Source organism: Homo sapiens, chromosome 16 (assembly GCF_000001405.40).
Source record: "Homo sapiens chromosome 16, GRCh38.p14 Primary Assembly".
NCBI classification, from domain to species: Eukaryota; Metazoa; Chordata; class Mammalia; order Primates; family Hominidae; genus Homo; species Homo sapiens.
The window spans coordinates 4,947,416-4,960,567 of NC_000016.10; the positions used below are offsets into that span (position 1 = coordinate 4,947,416).

The window sequence follows — 13,152 nt, forward strand, 5'->3', positions numbered from 1 at the left end:
TGCTGTGGGAGACAGGAGTGGGAATGGACAAACAATGTAAGTTTGAGGTCCCCTTGGGTGGATCATGGCGCCTCTTCTGTGTGCCCCAGGAGACAAAGTCTGCAGTCGGCACAGAGTCACCGTCAGGTGGGGGCCCAGGGACACTATGAGGAAAGTGGCCAGACTCCAGTCTGAGGGTGGTTGAGGACCCGGTGAGGAAGGGGAGGCCTTAGCTTGCAGGGCGTCAGGTTCCCTCATCGTGTTTTCTGCATCACTGACATTTCCCAGGAGCCAGGCTCCTCCCCAACCCCCGTGGAGGATCTCGACCTCTTGCCCCCACAATACCTCCCACAAGTCACTCATCCATTTATTGAGCACCTACTGTGTACCCGGCTCTGGGGATATAGTAGCAAACACGATACATCCCTCACATCCTGGGGGCCCCCTGTCTTGGAAGGGAGGAGGGACAGAAAAGCAAACAGATAACCACATTTTTTACAAATGAAATAACCTAAGTGCCCATCAGTGGGGGAAGCGGTGGTAAATTACAAAACTGCCCTAGTCTGGGAGGAATTCGGGGAGGCCTGTGGGCCTCACAGGGAAGCTGAGGGTGTAGCAAGTGAAAAAAGGAAGCTGCCTGCTATTAGGTGTCGTGTTTTGCCATTTCCGCTTCAGAACGGAGCTGCCCTGTGTCTCCGTGAGCTCGTCCTCCACCTGCCTGCCTGCCTGGCTCTGCCTCCACTCTTTGTTCACGCTCTCTGCTGAGCTCAAACATTCCTGCTGGGCCCAGGCAGCCAAGCCCCCATCAGCCGCCTCCCAGGCCATTCTCTAATCACAAGCTCAGGCTTAATCCCCACACACGCCCAGGACTCCGCTCTGGGCAAATACTCCTCCTTTCAGCCCTGGAGTCCCTGACCTCCCGCTACCCAGACCATCCTGTCCCCTGTCCCCAGCCAAAAGGCCCCCCTCCACTGGTTGGGGGTGGGGAGACCTCAGTGTAGCCTTGTCCAATAAAACTGCCTGTGACAATGGAAATATTCTGTATACATGGAGGCGGCAAGCCACATGTGGCTACTGAGCACGTGAAATGTGACTAGTGCAACTGAGGAATTGAATTGTTAATTTTTAAAAATTCATTTTAATCCATTAATTTATTTTTTGTAGAGATGGGAGATTCTCACTGTGTTGCCCAGGGTGCCTTGAACTCCCGAGCTCAAGCCATCCTCCGGACTAAGCCTCCCACAGTGCTGGGATGACAGTCGCCTGCCGCCACGCCCAGCCTGAATTGTTAATTTTATTGTTTATGTGTATTGTTATTTATGTAAATATAGAGCATATTCATATTTACAGAATTTAATTAATGCAAACGTAAGTAGCAGCGTGCATCTGGTGGCTGTCGCAGGGTCCACCTGGGCCCAGGCATGGAGAAGAGGACAGCTCGGGTCCCTGGTCCTCTTCTTGGCAGGGGCAGCCTAGAGGGGCTGGGTGGCAGCTGAGGCCTCAGGCACTGAGCTGGGGGGTCCCTGGAGTCGCTGTGTTGATGGGGCTGAGCTTTGGGTGTTGGTGCCTGTGGCCCCTCCCCAGCGGCCAGTCCCTTGTTCTGACCCCTGCTTGGTGGTCAGAATCACACACTGAGAGCTCCTGAAGACCTGAGCTGACCTTCAGGTGGGACTGTCCGGCTCCAATGACAAGAGGTCGTTTTCCCCAGGTTCCTCTGTCTGCATCCGCTCCACGGATGCGCTCTCTAGGAACAGCTTCCCCTTCCTGGTTCTCCTGGGTCTCCCTTTCCATTCCTACAGCATCTACCTGGGCAAGAGATCTAGGGTCTCACCCCCTCACCTCCAGATTCCTGAGGTCACTTTGGTGGCCTCCCTCCTCCTGGCTCCTCCTCCGTGCTCTCTGCACCCTTCCCCCTCCTCCACCGTGGTCAACTACAATCTATTCCCAACACAGCAACCAGAGGGCTAAAGTGAAGTCAGCAGACTCCCCTGTCCCATACCTCCCAGACACTCTGAGTACCTCAGCATCAGAGCCAGATAACCCATGAGACCCCCTCCCTCAGGCTCCCCTCAGAGTCTGCTCTCTTCCCCGCCACTTCCCTCCCACTAACTCTACCCCCGATACACTGACCGCCTCCCCAATACTCAAACACGCCAAGTATGCTCCTGCCTCAGGGCCTTTGCATCGGCTGCCCCCTTGGCCCCACTCTCTACGTGGACCCCCTGCTCTTCTTCCAAGCCTTTGTGCCAAGTCACCTTCTCAGCGCAGCCCACCTGGTCCCTACATTGTAATCTGCCCTGCACTTCCCACCCTCTTTCCCTGCTCACCAATCATGGCACTCAGTGCAATCTAACCCACAACAGAAGCCACTCACGGATACAAAAAAATAAGCCAGGTGTGGTGGTGGGCGCCTGTAATCCCAGCTACTCAGGAGGCTGAGGCAGGAGAATCGCTTGAACCCGGGAGGCGGAGGTTGCAGTGAGCTGAGATCGCGATTCTGCACTCCAGCCTGGGTGACAGAGTGGGACTGTGTCTCAAAAAAAAAAAAAAAAAAAAAAGGGGAGTGAAGGCCTGACATGCGCTTCAGCATGGTTGACCGTGAGCACATTAGGCTCAGTAAGAAAAGCCAGATACACAACGGCACATATTATACGATCCTGCCTGTGAAATGTTCAGAGGTGAATTCGTAGAGATGGAAAGGAGACTGTGGCTGCTGGGGAGAGGGGAGTGGCGAGTGACTGCTAAGGGGCACAGGTGATGATAGTGCTCTCAAATTGACCATGCTGATGGTTGTGCAACTCTGAAACTACCAAAACCGGCTGGATGGCACTCTTTTTTTTTTTATTTTTTTTTTTGACAGGGTCTTTCTCTCTCTCTCTCCTTTTTTTTTTTTTTTTTTTTTTTTTTTTGAGATGGAGCTTTGCTCTTGTTGCCCAGGTTGGAGTGCAGTGGCGCGATCTCAGCTTACCGCAACCTCCGCCTCCCAGGTTCAAGTGATTCTCCTGCCTCAGCCTTCCTGAGTAGCTGGGATTACAGGCATGCATCACCACGCCCGGCTAATTTTGTATTTTTAGTAGAGACAGGGTTTCTCCATGTTGGTCAGGCTGGTCTTGAACTCCCGACCTCAGGTGATCTGCCCACTTCGGCCTCCCAAACTGTTGGGATTACAGGCATGAGCCACCACGCCCGGCCCCTGTTTTTTATTTTTACTTTTTTTTTTTTGAGACAGAGTCTTGCTGTGTTGCCTAGGCTGGAGTGCAGTGGCACGATCTCGGCTCACTGCAACCTCTGCCTCCCGGGTTCAAGCAATTTTCCTGCCTTAGCCTCCCAAGTAGCTGGGAGTACAGGTGCCTGCCACCATGCCCGGCTAATTTTTTTTGTATTTTTAGTACAGATGGGGTTTCACTATGTTGGTCAGGCTGGTCTTGAACTCCTGACCTTGTGATCTGCCTGCCTCGGCCTTCCAAAGTGCTGGGATTATAGGCGTGAACCACCTCACCCGGCCTTAAAATTTTTTGTAGAGACTGGAGCCTTACTATTTTGCCCATGCTGGTTTTGAACTCCTGGGCTAAACTGGTCCTCTCTCCTTGGCCTCTCAAAGGGCTGAGATTACAGGTGTGATCCCCTGTGCCCAGCCAAGGGTATTGCTGTACTGCTGAGGCTGGAGTGCAGTGGTGTGATCATTGCTCACTGCAGCCTGGAACTTCTGGCCTCAAGCAATCCTCCTGGCTCGGCCTCCCAAAGTTCGGGGATGATAGAGGTGAGCCATCAGACCCAGCTGAATTGCATACTTTAAATAAATGAATTCTGTATCTCCAAAAGGCAGAGTTATCACCTTCCTATACTGTGTTGGCCACCCCCTCAAATGTCCAACGTCAAGTCCTCACTCCCCTTCACCCTAAATTCCCGTGGGAAATGCCCCTCCTTCTAAGCCCGCACAGTTACAAACATGTACCCGGGTCCTCTGGTGGTCCCTGTGCAATTACTTTTCCTCACGCAATTTCCACCAACCTTCAGGATAACACTATGGTTAACCCCATTAAAAAAAAAGTTTCCAATGTGATTTTTTTTTTTTTTTGAGACGGGGTTTCACTCTGTCACCCAAGCTGAAGTGCAGTGGCACAATCTCGGCTCATTGCGACCTCTGCCTCCAGGTTCAAGCGATTCTCATACCTCAGCCATCCGAGTAGCTGGGATTATAGGGGCCTGCCACCACGCCTGGTTAATTTTTGTATTTTTTTGTAGAGACAGGGTCTCACCATGTTGTCCAGGCTGGTCTCGAACTCCTGACCTCAGATGATCTGCCCACCTTGGCCTACCAAAGTGCTGAGATTATAGGAGTGAGCCACTGTGCCTGGCCTCAATGTGATTTTTTAAAACAAGGCTAATCAGGTGAAGCAGTGGGAGTGGAGAAAACAAAACAAAACAAAACAAAACAAACACATCTGCAACGGGTTGAGACAATTAGTTGTAAACACCACTGCACTCAGACCAGCTCCTGTTATTTTTTTTATTGCAGTAAGATATATATAAAACATTGCCCATCTTAATTAATCATTTTTCAGTGTGCAGTTCAGTGGCATTCACATTATTGTGTAACCATCACACCATCCATCTCCAAAACTCCTTTTTTTTTTTTTTTTTTTTTGAGAGTCTCGCTCTGTTGCCCAGGCTGGAGTGCAGTGGTGCAATCTTGGCTCACCATAACCTCCGCCTCCTGGGTTCAAGCGATTCTCCTGCCTCAGCCTCCCGAGTATCTGGGATTACAGGTGCGTGCCACCATGGCCGGCTAATTTTTGTATTTTTAGTAGAAATGGGGTTTCACTATGTTGGCCAGCCTGGTCTCAAACTCCTGACCTCGTGATCCGCCCGCCTCGGGCTCCCAAAGTGCTGGGATTACAGGCGCGAGCCACTGTGCCCGGCCCAGAACTCTTTTCATCTTCTAAAACCCAAACTCTGTGTCCATTAATTAACTCCCCATGCCCCTCCCCCCAGCCCCTAGCCCCGCCACCGTTCTTCTTTCTGTCCCTGTGGATTGGGCTCCTCTAGGTGACTCAGATGTGGAATCACTCAGTTCTTGCCCGTTCAGCATAATGTCCTCCAGGTTCATCCAAGTCGTAGTGCGTGTGGGTGCTTTATTCCTCTCTAATGCTGAATAATTTTTCATGTTACCCCTATTTTTTTTTTTTTTTGAGATGGAGTCTCACTCTATTGCCCAGGCTGGAGTATAGTGGCATGATCTCAGCTCACTGCAACCTCCACAATCCGGGTTCAAGCAATTCTCCTGCCTCAGCCTCCCGAGTAGCTGGGATTACAGGGGTGCGCCACCACGCCAGCCAATTTTTGTATTTTTAGCAGAGATGGGTTTTGCCATGTTGGCCAGGCTGGTCTCAAACTCCCGACCTCAGGTGATCCACCCACCTCAGCCTCCCAAAGTGCTGGGATTACAGCCGTGAGCCACTGTGCACAGCCCATGTTACCCCATGTTAAAAGGAGGGGACATTGGCTGGGCGCAGTGGCTCATGCTTGTAATCCCAGCACTTTGGGAGGCCGAGGCGGGTGGATGACAAGGTCGGGAGATCGAGACCATGGTGGCTAACACGGTGAAACCCCGTCTCTACTAAAAATACAAAAAAATTAGCCGGGCGTGGTGGTGGGCGCCTGTAGTCCCAGCTACTCGGGAGGCTGAGGGAGGAGAATGGCATGAACCTGGGAGGCGAAGCTTGCAATGAGCCGAGATCACGCCATTGCACTCCAGCCTGGGCGATAGAGTGAGACTCTGTCTCAAAAAAAAAAAAAAAAAAAAAAGAGGGGACATTGAGGCAACAAAGCTAGGGGGTGGCAGGGTCAGAACGCACATCAAGGTTGGTCTGACTCCTGTACCCGCCCCAAGTGCCCGGCCACCTGACCCCTCCCACAGGGCCACCCCTCCCATCCCCTGGGCCACCCTCCTCCCGCTGTGTTCCATTCTCTCCTTTGGGCTTCATGTAGCAGTTGGTGGAGCCCAGAAGTCTTTGTGAAGTGAATGGACTTGGGTGCCCGGCTGGGGGTCAAGGTGGGTGGGTCCTGGCTGTGTAGCCCCCTGGGTCAGACTGCCTCAGACTCAGCCTCTGCTCAGTCAAAGCTGCTCCCATGACCAGGACTGTTCCACAGAGTTGTGCAGGTTACAACCTATACACCTGTACGTAACAGCCCTGCCAACCATCATGATAGCCCTGGAGATTCCCAAATCCAGGAGGCCTCAGGGCTCTGCTTCGAGAAGGGGCAAGAAGCAACACAACGTAGAGGCCACCCGGGACGAATGAGATGTCCCCCAGGAAGCAGATAAACAGATGGATGGTTTCCAGGGGCTGCGGGAAGGGAGGAAGGAGGAGTGACAGCTTCATGGGTATGAGTTTCCTTTTGGGGTGATGAAAATGTTCCAAAACTAGAAAGTGGTGCTGGCTGTACGTGCATCTTGTGAATATACCAAAAGCCAGAGAATTGTACACTAAGAAATGGTTAAAATGGTAACTTTTGTGTTATGTGCATTTTTTTTTTTTGAGATAGAGTCTCGCTCTGTCACCCAGGCTGGAGTGCAATGACATGATCTTGGCTCACTGCAACCTCCACCTGCTGGGTTCAAGCAATTCTCCTGCCTCAGCCTCCTGAGTAGCTGGGATTACAGGCATGCAGCACACTAAGAAATGGTTAAAATGGTAACTTTTGTGTTATGTGCTTTTTTTTTTTTTGAGATGGAGTTTCTCTCTTGTTGCCCAGGCTGGAGTGCAATGGCATGATCTTGACTCACCGCAACCTCTGCCTCCCGGGTTCAAGCGATCCTCCTGCCTCAGCCTCCCCAGTAGCTGGGATTTCAGGCATGCATCACCACACCCAGCTAATTTTGTATTTTTAGTAGAGACGAGGTTTGTTCATGTTGATCAGGCTGGCCTCGAACTCCCAACCTCAGGTGATCTGCCCACCTCGGTCTCCCAAAGTGCTGGGATTACAGGCATGAGCCATCGTGCCCAGCTGATTTTTTTCTTTTTTTTTTTTTTTTTTGAGATGGAGTCTCACTCTGTTGCCCAGGCTGGAGTGCAGTTGTGTGATCTCAGCTCACTGCACCCTCCACCTCCCAGGTTCAAGTGATTCTCCTACCTCAGCCTCCTGAGTAGCTGGGATTACAGGCATGCGCTACCATGCCTGGCTAATTTTTTCATTTTTAGTAGAGACAGGTTTTTGCCATGTTGTCCAGGCTGGTCTCGAACTCCTGACCTCAGGTGATCCGCCCACCTCGGCCTCCCAAACTGTTGGGATTACCGGCATGAGCCACTGTGCTCGGACCATTTTGCCACAATAAAATTAAGCTGGGGACCGTACCCTGCTTACTGCATCTTCTTCAGCTTCAGAGCCATCCCAGGGCCCATTATGTATTCCAGGGTCTTAACCCCCATTCTCAATGTCACACTGAGCCATTCAACTCAGGACATTCCCAGCAGGATGCCTTCCAGGAACATCTGCCTTTGGATGGGGTCCAGAGTTTTACTCAAACAAATGCATCACTAATGGTTGAATCTTCTCTGGCAGTGGCCCATCTGCTGGGAAGACATTCAGAGACATGAGGTGGTTTCTGGGGTTCCCAAAACCCACCTCCACAAAAGGCAGCATTGGCTGGGTCATTCTTGCAGGGCAGGTGGGAAGCAGCAGATAGAGGCTAAAGATCCTGCCCTGGGACTGAGTTCATGCCCAGCACCCCTGGGGAATCAGCCTATCCTTGCAGCGCCTTCTTGTCCTGGAGCCAGGGTGCCTGGAGATCTTGCAGTTCAGGGCTTGGAAATCACATCTTCCCGGAGCATCAGCTGCAGCTCTAGGAGAAGAAGTCATTGGAGAACGAGAGTCCTGGGTATGAGTTCCTTACTAGCTGTGTGGCCTTGGGCAAGTTATTCAGTCTCTCTGTGCCTTGTGCCTTAGTTTCCCTACGTGTAAGATGAGGATTAAAATAGTTTTGACTGTATATGGGCTTTTAATTGAGATGAAAGCCACGTAACAGAAAATTAATCATTTTAATATTGTGGCCCCAATTCAGTGGCATGTGCATTTGCAACGTTGTGCAACCACCACCTCTATCACATTCCAAGACATTTTCATTGCTCTGGGGTTGCTTTGAGGATTAAATGCATTCGTGTTTGTAAAGCTTTAGAATGGTGCTAGGTATAGTAAGCGCCAATGGAGTGTCAACAAGTGGTAGGAATAATTAGTAGAACAGTAATAATAGGCAACTGGGCCAGGTGTGGTGGCTCATGTCTGTAATCCCAGCACTTTGGGTGGCTGAGGCGGGTGGATCACCTGAGGTCAGGAGTTTGAGGCCAGCCTGGCCAACATGATGAAACCTGTCTCTACTGAAAATACAAAAATTAGCCAGGTGTGGTGGCAAGCGCCTGTAATCCCAGCTACTCGGGAGGCTGAGGCAGGAGAATTGCTTGAACCTGGGAGGCGGAGGTTGTAGTGAGCCGAGACTGCGCCACTGCACTCCAGCCTGGGCAACAGAGCAAGACTCCACGTAAAAAAAAAACCCCAAAACCCAAAAAAAGCTGGAGTGAGTGTTGGTGGCGTTATTAATTCCCTTCCCTGGGGCTGGAGGAGGAGGGAGTGGGGTTCTCACTCCCCTCCAGGCCCCAGTTTCCACTTTGAGCTCTCTGTACCCGCAGGGCTGTCACACCTCTGTCTCCCACGCAGTCATTGTCCTCCCTCAATGTTGGGCAGCAGGAGAGGCGGACTTAACGCCTTTCGTGGTGGTAACAGCAGCTAACGGTGTTAACGTTCACTTTGCTCTGTGGCGATGCCTGGGCAGAGCTGGGCATTTCCTGGATGAGCCCGGGTTAGGACAGTCATCCCTGGATCCCATGTCCCCCACCTACTCACCCTTGTGTTACTCCAGGAGCCATGGGCTATCATTTGCTGCCACCTTGCGACAGGGATGGGAACTTTGTGTCCCATTTCCGCCCTTGATTACCTAAGCCAAGAGTCTGCTGGGCACCTGCTGCCTGCCTGCCAGGTCCCCAGTAAGATCCTTCCCAACATGCGGGCAGCTGAATAAGGCAGCCACTGCCCCTGCCCTCAGGGAGCTCACAGTCTCCTGAGAGAGACCTCCAGGAACCCACAGATATATAAAACGAATAAATGCAATATTAGAATGTGATGCAGGCTAGGAAGGGAAGAGAGGTGATTTTCACAGGGTGCAGTGACATACTTGAAATATATCAGGGGTTGTCCATCTCCCTGGCCACCTCTGACTTCCCCTGCTTGAAGGGGTGAATTCACCCCACGGTGGCACGTAGTAGGTGCTCAGTAAATGTTGAATGAGTGAATACATGGATGACAGCACTGTCCAGAGCCAATTTCTTGGGTCTTGTAGGCTAAACAGATGAGGAGTGGCAAGGCAGGACTTCTGGGAGCAAGGTTGGTCCCCTGGGAGTCCTGGGAGGGCTGAAAGGGGTTAAGTGTGAGTTAAAATGAGAGTGATGGACAAATGTCACTCTCCCAAGGGAGGCCCCCTTACTCCCTGTTTTATTTATTTATTTACTTATTTATTTTGAGACCGAGTCTTGCTTTGTTGCCCAGGCTGGAGTGCAGTGGCCAGGTAACAGCTCACTGCAGCTTTGAACTTCTGGGCTCAAGGGATCCTCCTGCCTCAGCCTCTTGAGTAGCTGGGACCACAGGCACGTGCCAACACGCCTGGCTAATTTTTTTTTTTTTTTTTTGCGACGGAGCTTTGTTCTTCTTGCCCAGGCTGGAGTGCAGTGGCGCAGTCTCGGCTCACTGCAACCTCCGCCTCCTTGATTCAAGCGATTCTCCTGCCTCAGCCTCCCGAGTAGCTGAGATTACAGGTATACGCCACCATGCCCGGCTAATTTTGTATTTTAGTAGAGACGGGGTTTCCTCATATTGGCCATGCTGTTCTCGAACTCCTGACCTCAGCTGATCTGCCTGCCTTGGCCTCTCAGTGTGCTGGGATTACAGGCGTGAGCCACCGCGCCCTGCCTAAACTAAAAAAAAATTTTTTTGTAGAGATAGGTTCTTGCTATGTTACCCAGGGTGGTCTCCAACTCCTGGGTTCAAGCGGTCCTCCCGCTTCCGCCTCCTAAAGTGTTTGGATTACAGGCGTGAGACATGGCGCCCGGCCTCTTACCTGTTTTAAATTGTCCTTTCTCTCCGCTGGCTCCTTGAGCCCCTTTCCTGCTTATTTTTCTCTCGTTAGAGTTTTTCACTACCTCACACATCATATATTTGCCTTATTTATTGAGTGTCTGTCTCCCCACCGTAGTATAAACTCCACGAGGGCAGGGATTCGTGCGTGTGGCTCACCGGCGGCTCTCCAGCGCCTGGACAGGGCTGACCCCCAGCAGGCGCTCTGTGAAGGTGTGCAGAGTGGGCGAAGGTGCATGCGCGGGCCGTGGGGCGGGGACAGGTGGAGGAGCCAGTCAGACCCAAGTGCAGCGGGACGAGGGCGAGGTTAATCTGAGCAAGAAAAGCGTAAATTCTGCTTATCTACAAATGTAAACAGTACTGTCGGCCAGACGCAGGGTCCGGGGCGGGTCGGCCCGGACTCAGGGTCTGCTTGGAGGCAGAGCTAGATTAGGGCGGGGTCGTCCTGTGGCCTACCATTCCCCGAGGCTGAGGGCCTTGGAGGGCGGGGCCAGTGAAGGGGGAGGGGACTTCCTGAGGTGTGACCAATCTAGAGAAAGGACTGGGCTGAGGGCGTGGTCAAACAAGCGACATCTAAAAATAAGGGGCGGGGCTAGAACCAGGGGGAGTTCGCCTGGGGCGGGGCCAGAGTGGGGCGGGACCAGTTAGGGGGCAGGGCCAACCTGGGCGGGGCCATGGCCGGGGACGTGGGCGGGACCAGGTCAGGGGCGGGGCCAGGCCAGGATCTCCGCTGTCCCGGGTCCTGGAGCTCTCTCGGCCCGGCAGGTTTCGCTCCCGCCCCTCCGGCCTTCCACAGCTGTCCTGGCCGCAGGGTGTTCAAGGCGGGACACACCAGGCTAGAGATCCGCGATCGGGCCCCGCCTCAGGTACTGCGCTCCAGGCCAGGCGGGCGCGGGTAAGCGCTCAGCTCCCGAGCCAGGCGGGCTTCCAGGGCACTTCCCCTAGGCTGCATTCCCAAAGGCTCCCGAGGGCGAGGGTGAGCAAAGCTGCGGGGACCTGTGTGTGCATGCGTGTGCGATTGCCTCTACGTGTGTGTACGTGTGTGTGCATGTGCGCACGGGTGTGTGTGCGTGTGTGCACGTCTGTGCACACCAGGGGAATTGCGTGCGTGGAGCTGGGCAGGTGCGTGTTTCAGGGTGTGTGTGCAAAGTTGGAGGCGTGTGCAAAAGCAGTCCCGTGTGGGAGGGAAACCTGCGTGTGTACATGTGTGTGATAGAGACAGTGCCTGTGAAATGTGGTGAAGGCTGTGTGTGTATGTCAGGGTGTCTGGGAGGAAAATGGGAGGGCAGGTGCAAGGAGACTCGGGGGTGGGCTGTAGGCCAGCAAGTCTGTGGCAAGCTGCGGGGTGCATGCGTGAATAGAACCGTGGGAGTGTAAGAATTGCAAATGTGTGTGTGTCTGTGTGGGTGGCCGTAAGGCTTCTGGGGGCCCTCAGTGTGAAGGGGTGGGGGTAGAGGAAAGTTTGGGGGTGCTGACTGCTCTTGGAAGGCTGAGCGTGGTCTGGGGCCATGGCTAATGACAGGGAAGCTGTTGGGGCTTGGCCTGGAGTAATTTGGGGGGAATATCAGCCTTCTCAATTTGAAGGCTGGGGAGCTGTGTGGGTGGGGCCAGGGGCTGCCCCTTACACTTGGTGGGTGGTGTCCCTGCTTCCCGAGGTGGGAGCTGCAACCTCACCAGTCACTCCTCGCCCCAGGCTCTGTGCACACCCCTGCCTGGTGACCTCCATTGGTGCTCCAGCGTGAACATGGTGCAAAGATACCAGTCTCCTGTCCGAGTCTACAAGTACCCGTTTGAGCTGGTCATGGCGGTGAGTGACTCCTGATTCTTGGGCCCCCATGTGACAGTTGGAGGGGCTTGAGATCAGCTATGGCGGTAGGAAGACGGAGCTCCTTAGACTCCCAGATCAGAAGGAATTAGTGAGTTACTCAGCTGACCTGGTGGGTTTAACTTCTATCCAGTGACCTCTCTGTCCAACCATCCTATCCTCGGCCCAGTGACCAAAACACAAAGTCTTTCTTCCTTCTCCTTGTTGAAGCTGACCTGCTCCCTTACTTTAGACTCTCCTGATAGAAAACAAAGGTATCAGGGGCCAAGCCACTGCTGTCATTTCATATAATGGCATATCACAGTGATAAATGGAATGGTGGTGATAATGACAACAGCTGTTTATTGAATGTTTACAGCACTGTCTTAACAGATGATGTTTCTTCCAATTCCCGATAGCTGTTATTTTCCCATGTAACCTCCATGAAACTGAGGCTTTGACAGGTGAAGGGATGACACTAAGTTCTGTATCTACGCAGAGGTGGAGTCGGGGCTGAGATCCCCACAAAGGAGACTCTAGAACCTCACATTTGACCACAGAGCCCTCCTTCTGCTCACAGACCCCCTTCCCTCCCCTTTAAGGAAGCTGACACTGGGACGAGAGAGAGAATGAGTGGGTAGGTTTGCTTTGTGATGTACTCTGTGTTGTGCAGCAAGTCAGTTGGAGGCCTAGAATTGGCTGCCAGATCCTTGGCCCCCAGGATCACTGGTCTTTTCACCCTGGGGGCAGAAGCTGGACATAGGTGGATGTGGAATTCCTTCTTGGCTGCATCCCTCTGCCTCTGAGCACTTCACTTCCCTGCTCAGTAACATGGGGACAATGCTACAAGGTTGCGGGGAGGAGTAAATGAGATAGTTCTTGGTGCTCCTTGCTGTGTGCCGGGCACACAGTAGGAGCTCACAAAATATGCTGTCGCTGTTATTACACCGAAGTCTTGTAAATTAATGTATTGAAAGTGTAAGAAACATTAGCATCCACCCCCATCTGTCCCACCCCAGCACTGACTGCTTAACCCCAGCCTTCTATCCAGGGACTTTCATATCTCTTGGTGGCTGTGTGTGCCTGTGTGTCCAGTCCTGTCTTATTCTATGAATCTACATGCGTATATGTTTATTGTCACACAGAGGATTTAAAAGCATCACCAAAATCATCCACATACCTTG

The 13,152-nt window shown here is 52.6% G+C and overlaps 1 protein-coding gene across 3 annotated transcripts in view, besides 5 other annotated features; it reads left to right on the plus strand.

Annotated features, from left to right (window-relative positions):
- Positions 397-1,154: an enhancer, noted in NCBI's record as "H3K27ac-H3K4me1 hESC enhancer chr16:4997813-4998570 (GRCh37/hg19 assembly coordinates)". NCBI's record gives its function as "activates a minimal SCP1, AML or CMV promoter by ChIP-STARR-seq in primed H9 embryonic stem cells {active_cell/tissue: H9 hESC(primed)}" and the evidence as "EXISTENCE:reporter gene assay evidence [ECO:0000049][PMID:30033119]".
- Positions 10,800-11,009: a silencer, noted in NCBI's record as "silent region_7171". NCBI's record gives its function as "represses an Ori minimal core promoter by ATAC-STARR-seq in GM12878 lymphoblastoid cells {active_cell/tissue: GM12878}" and the evidence as "EXISTENCE:reporter gene assay evidence [ECO:0000049][PMID:35858748]".
- Positions 10,800-11,442: a biological region, named in NCBI's record as "H3K4me1 hESC enhancer GRCh37_chr16:5008323-5008858".
- Positions 10,808-11,103: a silencer, noted in NCBI's record as "fragment chr16:5008224-5008519 (GRCh37/hg19 assembly coordinates)". NCBI's record gives its function as "represses an EF-1alpha promoter that drives an FKBP-Casp9 reporter gene in an ReSE screen in phorbol 12-myristate 13-acetate-treated (for megakaryocytic differentiation) K562 erythroleukemia cells {active_cell/tissue: K562(+PMA)}" and the evidence as "EXISTENCE:reporter gene assay evidence [ECO:0000049][PMID:32094911]".
- Positions 10,907-11,442: an enhancer, noted in NCBI's record as "H3K4me1 hESC enhancer chr16:5008323-5008858 (GRCh37/hg19 assembly coordinates)". NCBI's record gives its function as "activates a minimal SCP1, AML or CMV promoter by ChIP-STARR-seq in naive H9 embryonic stem cells {active_cell/tissue: H9 hESC(naive)}" and the evidence as "EXISTENCE:reporter gene assay evidence [ECO:0000049][PMID:30033119]".
- SEC14L5 (SEC14 like lipid binding 5) overlaps positions 10,915-13,152 on the plus strand; it is a 60,828-nt gene continuing 58,590 nt past the window's right edge. Inside the window, exons 1-2 of one of the 3 annotated variants that reach the window (XM_024450497.2) lie at positions 10,915-11,140; positions 11,858-11,971. In XM_024450497.2, the coding sequence (XP_024306265.1) occupies positions 11,909-11,971 (63 nt within the window). In that variant the 5' untranslated portion in view covers positions 10,915-11,140; positions 11,858-11,908. The remainder of the gene's footprint in view (positions 11,141-11,857; positions 11,972-13,152) is intronic. The other 2 variants (XM_024450498.2, NM_014692.2) reach the window with 2 other exon arrangements.